This window comes from Homo sapiens, chromosome 7 (assembly GCF_000001405.40).
Source record: "Homo sapiens chromosome 7, GRCh38.p14 Primary Assembly".
In the NCBI taxonomy this organism is placed as follows: Eukaryota; Metazoa; Chordata; class Mammalia; order Primates; family Hominidae; genus Homo; species Homo sapiens.
This window is the reverse complement of record NC_000007.14, coordinates 127,658,638-127,670,817: the sequence shown is the minus strand read 5'-3', so window position 1 is coordinate 127,670,817 and position 12,180 is coordinate 127,658,638. Positions and strand designations below refer to the sequence as shown.

Below are 12,180 nucleotides of genomic sequence, written 5' to 3'. Positions count from 1 at the left end.
ATCTATGGCTGAGTGCAATGGCTCACGCCTATAATCCCAGCACTTTGGGAGGCCAAGGCAAGATCTCTCGGGGCCAGGATTTCAAGACCAGCTAGGTCAACAAAGTGAGACCCATTACTACAGAAAAATTAAAAATAAAAATAAATAAATAAATAAATGTGATCTAATTAGGTTTTATATTCAGACAAGCTAGAAACCTCTTAGTGTCTCAAAAGATTTGAGAAACAAGTCATGGAAGTTCAGAGTTAAAGTAACTGAGAACTTTCTATAAGAGGCAAGACCATTAAATCTGTTTTTGGTTTAAGTGAAGTTTTCCAATCTGGCCGCAAACCGTTCACTCTTGAGAGTTGGCTGTCTTTATTTTCAAAAAAGAATCGTATTATCAAAAACAATGCCTGAGAACCAGGAGCAGTGGCTCACATCTGTAATCCCAGCTACTCTGGAGGCTGAGGTAGGAGGATGGCTTGAGCCAAGGAGTTCAAGATCAGGCTGGGCAACACAGGCATCTTAAAAAAAAAAATTAAAATTAGGCCAGGCGTGGTGGCTCACGCCTGTAATCCCAGCACTTTGGGAGGCTGAGGCAGGCAGATAATCTGAGATCAGGAGTTCGAGACCAGCCTGGCCAACATGGTGAAACTGTCTCTACCACAAATACAAAAATTAGCCAGATGCAGTGGCACACGCCTGTGATCCCAGCTACTCAGGAGGGTGAGGCACAAGAATCACTTGAACCCAGGACGCAGAGGTTGCAGTAAGCCGAGATCACGCCACTGCACTCCAGCCTGGGTGAGAGACTCTGTCTCAAAAAAAAAAAAAAATTAGAATTAGTTAAATAAATACATAAATAACAATGCCTAAGTCCTCCAGTCTAAACTAGAAAAAAAAAGAAAAGATGCTTTGGGAATGCCAAGAGAAATTCTCTATGTTAATCTGCAAGGTGCTGAATTTTATTTCCTTTTTTCCTTATCAAATCCTAACACTTCCTCCTCCTGTCCCCACACCTTTGATCTTCTCTAAAATGCAGGCTGTCTGGATCAAAATGCAAAGGTAACAGGGTAATATTTTTAGCCAGCACAGTACATGGAGGGGACAGGAAGGAAATACTGTTACTCTGTCATTGCTCTCAGTGTAGGCATTCAGATGTATTTTTGTTACCATGGTATTGGATATAGGCTTTGGGGTAAATCTACTGAGAGTCTTGCCTAGGAAGCAAGAACAAATATAAGACTCGTGGACAATATAATCATAGAAGAGATGATAGAATTTGCTCGGACACCAAGCATCCCTTTGGAGGATATAGGTAGTGACTGAGGAAAGTGGGAAGACAACTGAATATTGAACAGTTAATTGAGAGATTCTCCAAAGTGGTCAGGGATATTGCATAGATTTGAGTGGTTTTGGTTGAGAACAGAGTAGGCTTGACAGCTCACAGGAAATAATCAATTGAGTGGTTAGAAATGAGTTAGGTAAAACATTACTGAAGTGGGTAACAAGGGAAATTTGATATACTGTAAAAAGGGGACCGCTGGCCAGGCACAGTGGCTCACACCTGTAATCCCAGCACTTTGGGAGGCCAAGGTGGACGGATCACCTGAGCAAGAGTTCGAGACCAGCCTGGCCAACCTGGTGAAACCCCGTCTCTACTAAAAATACAAAAATGAGCTGGTCGTGGTGTCGAGCGCCTGTAGTCCCAGCTATTCAGGAGGCTGACGCAGAAGAATCGCTTGAACCTGGAAGGCGGAGGTTGCAGTGAGCCAGGATTAAGCCACTGCACTCCAGCCTGGGCAACAGAGCAAGACTCCGTCTCAAAAAAAAAAGGGGGAGGCACTGCTGAGGGAATCTGACTGGAGCAAATGTTGTCACAGATAACATGAACTACTGAGGGGAGAATGCAGTGATGCAGAGGCAAGTTGGAGTTGCATTAAAGAGGGCAGAGGGAGAAGGTGGGACAGGGGACTGCACCATGGAAATGGGGAATCCAAATGAGGGGAGAAAGAAGTGAGGGCATGCTTGCCTAGAGATCATGCCGAGGGAGTGGAAGGCCCCAGAGACATTAGGGCCATCTCTTGTCATTTGGCAGAGAAATAGGCAAAGCAGCTGTGAGTGCAGTACATGCTCTTAGGGGTTCGGCTTTCATTCACTTGAGCAAAAATTCACTAAGCTATGAGCTGTGGTAAGGACAAGGACCATGTCTCAATTGTTGTTGTCATCTCCTGAGTCCACCACTGTACTTGATATGCAGTAGTGCCATTCATTTATTCCAAAAAAATACTTATTTTTTCCTGGTCTTGTTCTGGGCTCTGGATTTACCATGGTGAATAGGACAGACATGGTCTTTGCCCTTACAGAACATCCAGCATAGACAGGAAGACTGATACTAAACAATTATTCTCTTATGTAATACTGTCACGAGTTCTATGGGAGAGAAGTATGGTGTTCATACGGCAGGGCAATCTGATCTAGTCTAGGGTTTGGGGAGTCCTCTTTGAGGAAGGTCAAAGTTTAAGCAGAATTTGCTGGAGAACATATGTTTCTGAATGAGGAAGTTAGAGTGGGGAACAGAGGCAGGGAATTAATGGACAGCACTTCTCAGACTTTACTGTGCAAACATCAATCACCTGGGGATCTTGTAAAAATGCAGATTCTGATTCACTAGTTTTGGGGTAGGGTCTGAGGGTCTACATTTCTAACAAGTTCTCAGGTGACTACTGTTCTATAGTCTCCTTCAGAAGATTTCTGCACATGCCTCTCTTCAATTCTGCCTTTTTCTTTTGTTTCTATTGAAAGATGATGGCATTTAACTGAGTCATTTTTCTTCCCCTGAGACTGTAGCCATGTTGACTAGCAGTCATATAACTTAACTCTTCAGTGCTTTCAAAGTGTAGTTGATCAACAGCATTTTACATAATGGAAAACAATGCAGCCACTCAAAACACCAAATTCTACACTCTCTCATTTTGACATAAAGACCTATTCTAAGCACTGTATGTGCATGTCTGTAATACAGATGTGTTCTTGTGCCTGTCAAGAGTGGGATTAACAATTCCAAGGACTGTGCTTTCGGAATATTTTTCGACGCCTGATCTGTAATATTGTTTACCAAACAATGATGGACTCAGCCCTAGTCTAAAGATTTAGTTTGGGCACTACCAGAAATCCGTTAAGTCCAGCAACCCCTTCCTTTAACTTCCTTTAACTTTAACTTTCCTCCTCCCCAGTTCCAAGGCCCAGAGAAAGGAGAGAAGCACAGCAGCTGCTGTTCCTGATCCAGGGATGGGGGACAGCAGCTACTGCGTTACTAGCCATAATAACAATGGCTGCTGTCATCTCATCTCTCCTCCTCACAGCACTGCCATCACTGTGCCCCTGAGTAAAATGTACTGTACAAAATATCAAATCATAATAAAATGATAAAACGTGGTAGGGGACCTGTATACCAGATACAACTAAATGAAAGCCAACCAGAGATCTTGAAATATCTTAGAGAAATGAAAATGACTGCATTTACTCTTCTTCAGGTTTGTTCCTGTAAAGTCATGCACACTTTTCCCTAAACTTGACCTATAGAAATAGTGATGTTAAGTATAATACTCAGTATTACTCAGAGTGAATCATCTCTAAAGAATGTCTAATATACTTACTCAGATTTATATACAGAGCTGACCATAGAGCTTGAGGAAATAAGTCAGCTTCTATGATACTCATGAGAAGCATGACTTTTCCCCACTTATTTTCCAAACTCAAATAGGAAATTTTTCCTATTTGAAATACTGATAGTCAATTTTAGATGTCAAAATAAAGTGCAAATCACAGGTCTACCATAAACATTTTAAAGTCCATTATTGCTGAATTAAGGTACCATCCTAGGATTCTCCTCATTATTAAAATCCTAGGGAGATTATCATAAAGGAATAAAAACTCAAGTCCCTGATCATCTAACACAGCTGGCAATTACAAGAGAACTGGTCAGTCCTTCCCCACCACGATGCCAGTGTCCCAGGCCCTTCCCGCCCTCTGTCATCAAACACAGATCTGCACACATCAAGATATTTAACAGGCAGCTATATCAGCATGATCTGGAACTTGTTTATGATCCCGGCACTGCAAGTACTGTCCATAAAAGAGACTTCTCATCCATTTTTATTAAAAACACTCATAATATTCTACCTTCCCTATGCTATCACTAAAGCGCAGCTCTGTGATTGTCCACACCTTTTTTTTTTTGAGGGGGGCACTCTCTCCAATGAATAACAAATAATTAAACTCTTTAACATATAAAGCAGAGATTTCAAATGAAAGTTTATGACAGCTCAGACTCAGGGGCCACCTTTACTGTATGCTTAGCCTTGTGCCATCAACCACTTCCAAAAATCAATTTTCTGAGGCCCTTTTCCTCAGATAATCTGAGTCCTGAGCTTATTCTTCTCTCTACATTGCCTTTCAGCTCCTCCTGTTGATAATCAAAGGAACACATTTTCTCCTAAGAACTTTCATTAAGAGCACCAATATGGGAACTCTTAAGGATTAAATGGAAACCAAGCAGTCCGGGCTAGCAGCCCCACATCGCCTTACTTGTAATATAATGGCAAGTTATTCCTCTAGAGCTACGGTTCAGGGGCCGAATACAAGGGCAGGGCAGGCTTAGCCAGGAGCTGGACCTGTGTCCTGCTGAGAGCTTGTGGGGAGGTCTCAGGAGATTCTAAAGCCCTCACAAGAGAACAGCTTAACAAGATAACTCAGCTTTTAAGTGATAGAGGCAGCCTCCTGGCCTCTGGGCTGTGAAAGGGCTCACCTGCCAAGAGCAATAATGCAAGTAATTACCACACACAATAATAGATCATGGCGGGATTTCAGGACCCAGGTACTCGGGAGTGTCCCTCTACCTTACACACCGGGAGGAATAGAATGCACCACTTTTCTCATTAAAACCTGCGGCAGAGTCCTGATAGGCAAGCAGATAAATGTCACTTGGCACAGTGATTCTGTTTTGGGTTATTACCAAAATTTTTTTTAATGTCCTTGTATTAAAGGCTATAAAACAGTAATTCCCGCTCTCCTGGAACAGAATTCCTAAGGCTGAAAATAACATCACATTAGTTATTTCAGAGACTGGAAACAAATACCTCTAAATCGCTCCTTCCCAATGCAAGACTCCACTGCAGTGGTCCCTATACCTATCACCACAGCCCTCCTTGAATAAAGTCTGCCTTACCATCTTTAACAAGTGTCATGAATAATTTTTTCTTTAATATTGACTTTCCATTTTCAATAGTGAAATTTAAGTTGCCTTTAGAAATAAAATTATTTAAATTTTAAAAATTGTTGACTGTCGGCCGGGCGCGGTGTCTCACGCCTGTAATCCCAGCACTTCGGGAGGCCAAGGTGGGCAGATCACGAGGTCAGGAGATTGACACTATCCTGGCTAACACGGTGAAACCCCATCTCTACTAAAAATACAAAAAAATTGGCCGGGCGTGGTGGCGGGCGCCTGTAGTCCCAGCTATGCAGGAGGCTGAGGCAGGAGAATGGCGAGAACCCGGGAGACGGAGCTTGCAGTAAGCCAAGATTGTGCCACTGCACTGCAGCCTGGGCGACAGAGTGAGACTCCGTCTCAAAAAAAAAAAAAAATGTTGACTGTCAAAACGATTTCCAAAACTCAATAAAGTGGTATGTCAAAACCACTGCAGGAGTACAGAAACATGTGAAGCCTGGGAAACTTTGGGTAAACCAATACCAGGATTAGGATGAGCACTTCCCAGTATCCAGAAAGGCTGCAAACCAGATCCCCTGGTCCAGTGATATCTCCCCAAACAACTCTAAAAAACAAGTGTTCTCCGTGCCAGATATTGTCATTCCTACTACCACCTACCACCCTAAAAAGGACAAAAAAATTGTTTTTGTTTTTCTTCTACAGTCACACAAACATTTCTGACACCAAATGTGTGTGGGTTTTTTTCCACACCAAGCAATCCTCTAATTCTCTGCAGACACCAACTGGGTGTTCTACAATTCAATTCAATTCAGACACTGTCTTCCTGGAATTAGTGTCAGATCCCACAAGTCAAAAGTGCCATCCCACAATACTCCTCCCACTGAAGATGCCAAGCTCAAGCCACCCTTAATGACTGACCAGCTATAAATCAGGTGTGTGTTCTCATGAGCCTCTTCTCGGGTTTATTAATTTGCTAGAATAGCTCACAGAACTCTGGAAAACAGCCTACTTACTAGTAACTAGATTTATATAAAAGTATACAACTCAGGAACAGCCAGATGGAAGAGATACATAAGGTAATATATGGGGGGTGGAGTGCACAGCCTCCATGCCCTCTCTGGGCACACCACCCTCTCAGCACCTCCCCATTTTCCCCAACCCCAAAGCTCTCCAAACCCCATCATTTAAGGAGGTTACCTTACATTGGCATGATTTATTAAATGACTGGCCATCAGTGATTGAACTCGATCTCTAGTAACCAGGCCCCACTCACACTTAGGAGCTTCCCAGAGTCACTCATTAACTCAAGTGTGGTTCAGAGGGGCTTGTTTGCTGGGCAGAGTGGCTCACGCCTGTAATCCCAACACTTTGGGAGGTCAAGGTAGGAGGATCACTTGAGCCCAGGAGTTCAAGACCAGCCTGGGTAGCACAGAGAGACCCCGCCTCTACAAAAAATACAAAAATTAGCCAGAGGATGTCTTAAGCCTGGCAGGCTGAGGCTGCAGCGAGTTGTGGTCGCACCACTGCACTCCAGCCTGAGCAACAGAGACCTTGTCTCGAAAAAAGCAAAAAAGAAATGACTAGAGTTTTAGGAGCTCTGTGCCAAGAAGACCACGACCAGATATATTTCTTTTTACATCACAATATCACACACCACCTTCTTATCCAAGAAGAAAAAGGAAAAAGAGGAAGAGCTATGAGCCAGCAAATAGGAAAAAAGTCAGACTTCTCTCACATGATTTTGCCTCTCACCTCCACCTGTCTATCTGCACTTTAGGAAGTCAAAAATTTCCTTAGTCATGGAACTCTCCAGAACCCAGAGAAAGCAGATTAAAAACAAAGCCAAAAAGGATCTACTCCACCTGTCAGTATTAAGACCTTAAGACACCTGGGGTTGGCGGGGCCGGCAACCAATTAAGAAGTACAGTAAGGCCAGGCGTGGTGGCTCACGCCTGTAATCCCAGCACTTTGGGAGGCCGAGGTAGGCGGATCACGAGGTAAGGAGATGGAGACCATCCTGGCCAACACGGTGAAACCCCATCTCTACTAAAATACAAAAAACAAACATTAGCCAGGCATAGTGGCATGCACCTGTAGTCCCAGCTACTTGGGAGGCTGAGGCAGGGGAGTCACTTGAACCCGAGAGGTGGAGGTTTCACTGAGCCGAGATTGTGCCACTGCACACCAGCCTGGCGACAGAGCGAGACTCCATCTCAAAAAAAAAAAAAGAAGTACAGTAGGCCCTCACATCCGTGGATTCAACCAACCATGGGTCAAAAATATTCAAGAAAAAAACAGTAAGAATAACAATGCAACAATAAAAAAATTTTAAAACAATAAAATATAGCAACTATCTACATAGCATTTACACTGTATTAGGTATTATTAGTAACCTAGACATGATTTAAAGCATACAGGAGGCTGGGCACAGTGGCTCACACCTGTAATTCCAGCACTTTTGGAGGCTGAGGCAGGAGGATCATTTCAGCCCAGGAGTTCAACACCAGCCTAGGCAAGACAGGGAGACCCCGTCTCCACAAAAAATTTATTAGCCGGGTGTGGTGGCATGTACCTGTAGTCCCAGCTACTCAGCGGGCTGAGGTGGGAGGATCACCTGAGCCTGGGAGGTTGAGGCTGCAGTAAGCCATGATTGTGCCACTGTACTCTAGCCTGGGTGACAGAGAGATTCTGTCTCAAAAAAAAAAAAAAAAAAAAGATAAAAGAGGTTGTGCACGGGTTATGTGCAAATACTATCCCATGTTATACAAGGGACTTGAGCATCTCCAGATATTGGGAGGTTGGGGAAGTCTTGGAACCAAATACCAAGGGACAACAGTAATTATTTACCAAGGCCCAGGTGCTGGGCCCTGCGCTCCACAGAAAAGGCAAAGTGGCTTTCAGGAATAGTCTTATTGGGGAAATAAAACTACCAAACAAAAAAACTATTGAGTAATGAGCTACTAAGCAGTATTTTACCCTAAATTTTATCTAACATGACACCTGTAAGAAATAAACAGCTAAGGTACAAGTAAAGCACCCCAACCACCACCAAAAACAAAAAAGGTTACAAAAAAGGTACCAGTGGCTGCACTTTTAGAATCTATCTTATACAAACGCTAGCATCAGAGCACAAAGATATACAGTTCAATCAGTGCAATAGTGCTTAGAATTATGAAAAGCTAAAAACAACATATATCAACAGAAAAATAGATAATATACATCCAAACTGTGGAATACCGCTCAACCATTAAAAAAGAATGAGGTAGATCTACGACAGAAAGATAGTCATGACAATTTACTAAAAAAAGAAAATTGCCAGACACATAGAGATTGACCCTATTTCAGTTTCTTTTAAAAAGGAGGAGAGGGTGTGTATCTGCATGAAACATTTTGGAAGCAAATACACTGTTGACGTTTGCTGGGAGGATGAGAATGAATGGTAGAAAACTGAGGGGCAAGGAGGGCAGAGAGAGAGAGATTTTTTTTTTTTGAGACTGTGTCTTCCTCTGCCGCCCAGGCTGCAGTGCAGTGGCATGATCTTGGCTCACTGCAACCTCCACCTCCCAGGTTCAAGAGATTCTCATCCCTCAGCCTCTTGAGTAACCGGGATTACAGGCACGCACCACCATGCCCGGCTAATTTTTGTATTTTTAGTAGAGATGGGGTTTTGCCATGTTGGCCAGGCTGGTCTCAAACTCCTAACCTCAAGTGATCTACCCACCTCGGCTTCCCAAAGTGCTGAGATTACAGGCGTGGGCCACCATGCCCAGCTAGGGATTTTTCTTTTTTACTTCATACCTCTCTACTGCTTGAAATTTTAACAGCAAGTTGAGTATAGAAATACCAATTATTCAATTACTAACACTGGATGACATCCACCTGAACGCTCTGAAGGAATTCCAGGATAAACTGGAAAACTGTTGACCAAAATGAAAAAAGGCCATCAAGGGAACTGTAAATGTGACCCCTAATCATAAGGACTTCGTAAGACCTGAGAATTATTTTTACTTCCATATTAGACAAGCTAGTGGAATATAAAGACTAAGACCATTGAGTAGATCATTTGGGGTTTTAGTGTTGTTAAGAATGGGGCCTATGAATAAGAAACAGGAGAGATCCAAAAGGCCTAGGGATGAAGCTCCTCAGGATTGCAAGAACAGAAAGTGAGGAATTTAAAATCTTAGTTTTGTAAATGACACTAAAGACTTCCATTGAAATAATGTGCCAAGTTATTGGTGCCAAATTACAGGAAGATCCTGGGAATCTATGCAAACAGAAGGAAAAGTCGCAGATGAGTGTTAAAATGAGCATATGGCCTAAATCAGGAATATAAAACAACTTCTCAGCTGTCAGTTGTGACCTAGGAATAGGATCTGAGTCACTATAAGTGGACCCTGAGGACCCCAGCCCAATATTGAGCCACAAATTAAAAACAAAGCGTCCTGGGAACCATCAAGACAAACGCGAAGAGAAAGAAACCACTATCCTCCCCTCATAAAATTCTGGTGCACCCACCCCCACATACATACATTTCACTTATCATTTATGTCCCGCCCCTTCAACTACAAACAGTACAGGAGTTAAACAAGATCAGTGGATCTCACATGCCAGCCCCAGATCAATCCCAAACTGATTCTTTCAGAATAGCCTAGGAGTGGCTTTTTTTTGAAAATAGACCTTTCCAGGCCAGTCCCAGAGCTTCTAATTCAATGCCTGGGAAACGTCTTCTAGGTTGTCCTGATGCGATGACCTGTTTAGGAAATCACTGGGCTCCTTTCTCTCACTCTGAATCTACTCCCAGAAAGGATTTAAGAAGGCTTACCATAAAAAATAAACTCAAAAGTAAAGAAACTGTGTGAGCAACTGCCAAAAATAGATTAAAATGATTCCTATACAGGTTGAACATCCCTAATCCAAAAATCCAAAATCTGAAATGTTTTGAACACTAACATAATGCTCAAAGAAAATGCTCACTGGAGGATTTTGAATATGAGATTTCCAGGTGAATGAAGCTAAGCCCTAAGAATAATGCAAATATTCCAAAAACTGAAACACTTCTAGTCCAAGCGTTTCAGATAAGGGCTACTCAACTTGTACTTGTGCATTAAATAGAACTGAAAAAGATCTGAAAACAAAACTAAACAAAAACCAAAGTCCTGGCTCCAAGCAAGAAGAACAGAGCTCAGGACCCTATTAGCCCCCACACTCCCACCACAGTCTCCCAGTCAAGAGCAGGGCAAGAATAGACTCTCCCTATGAGCCAGAGGCTCCCTAAGTTGCCTCCTCTCTCCTTCCCTTCTCAAGTCAAGATCTGCTGCACCAGGAAAATGTCACAGTGTTCTGAAGCAGAGATAGGACTAGGTGAATAAAACCCACTAGAACCATGTTCCTCTGGGTCTCAAGCAACACTCCCACTAGTTTATCATGATACACTACTGAAAGGAAACCAAGAACTCCCCTTACTTCTATCTACCCTCTCTCCACCCCACCATTCAATCATTTAGTCTCATTCTAACTCTCTGGTCTTCCACACTGGAAAACCATATTTCCACTAATCTTCTTTCTCAAACTAAAGATTAGAAAAAAAAAAAAAAAAGAATAGGAACAGAAAACCTGCTTTATGCAAGATAAACGGCAATTCAAAGTCAAGCCGTTAAGGTATGAGATTTCTCAACTTTGTTTCAGCATGCCTAAATGAAATGTAACACAGGGTTTCTTATAAAATTACAGCCTTATGGGACTGGAAAATGCTTAGAGACAATGCATCCAGCAACCTCATGTTAGAGAAAAGGAGAGTTTGAGGTGGAATATCTTACCCAACATTACCCAAATGGCAGCACCCAGGCCAGAACTTGTGTCCCCTGACTTCTGGGCCAATGATCTCTTCTCTCTGCCATGCTGCTTTCCAGGGACAAAGTTAATAAATTAGATTACTAACTTTAAGCACAGATTCTTTAAATCTCCTTTATTCCTCTTGATATACATGAGGTTGGTGCTACAAGACCATCCCAAGCAGACTACTTGCCACATAAACAGAACTAAGAACCCAAAGAGCCTCAAAATTTGTTGAGGAATAGAGAGGAGATGGTACCTTAAGTCACACATGATAAGCACATAAGTGAAGAAAATGTGCCAAACCAGTTTATATCATAGATTACACATTTCAAAAATGGCATCTGAAAATGACATCAAAATTTTAGTTTTATTTTTCCCATAAGTTGCTTAACTTCCTAATTTTTAAAAAATGCCAACTGAAACCACTGTTCATTTTTTTCTTAAACATTAGAGTGAAGAAAAAGATCATTAATGTATTATATTGAGTCTAATGAAAGTAAGTGAAATCCCGTAACATTCCATCTATATCGAATGTTCACAACCTGTGATTCCACATAAATTTCTGCTGTAAAAGCAAAAAGCATATGTCAGTCTCCCAAGAGAGGAAGTAGCAACAGAAACCGGGTTGTGTATTCATCTCCCAGCAAGAAATATGAGGAAAAGCCAGATAAGCCCAGTAAGAGTTGAGTTCCTTCATTGCATTTGTTTTCCCTGATAATGCACAAAATTTCCTACAGTATGTAACTATGCTCTTCTTGGAGAAATGAAATAAATCCAAAGATCAGACTCTAAAGGATATCTACTATGCCCCTGTTAGAACCACACCTGTCAGATGGATAGCTAGCCTATGCTGAGAAGTGAGTGGACAACAGGCCTTAGATACCTTGTTACCTGAATTCAAAAACCTGGCCAATTTTCTCTGCTAAACCTACAAACAGAAATCACAATTTTCACTTGCTCCCCAAATTTCATCCTCCAAATAAACTGGGGCATAGACTTCACCAAATCATTTGCCCACTATTGCCAGCACTAGTCACTGGCCTCAGAAGTTCCCACTCATGTTAATGAGCCACAGGATGCGTAAGCGAGTTCTTACCTGATAATTAGTTTTGATCCCCTGAAGCATGCTACTT

General features: G+C 42.2%; 1 protein-coding gene across 2 annotated transcripts in view, besides 1 other annotated feature; it reads right to left on the bottom strand.

Annotated features, from left to right (window-relative positions):
- The window catches only part of SND1 (staphylococcal nuclease and tudor domain containing 1), a 440,400-nt gene that overhangs the window by 421,776 nt on the left and 6,444 nt on the right, over positions 1-12,180 (bottom strand). The gene's annotated exons all lie outside the window — the stretch shown is intronic.
- Positions 4,344-5,166: an enhancer, noted in NCBI's record as "OCT4-NANOG-H3K4me1 hESC enhancer chr7:127305706-127306528 (GRCh37/hg19 assembly coordinates)". NCBI's record gives its function as "activates a minimal SCP1, AML or CMV promoter by ChIP-STARR-seq in naive H9 embryonic stem cells {active_cell/tissue: H9 hESC(naive)}" and the evidence as "EXISTENCE:reporter gene assay evidence [ECO:0000049][PMID:30033119]".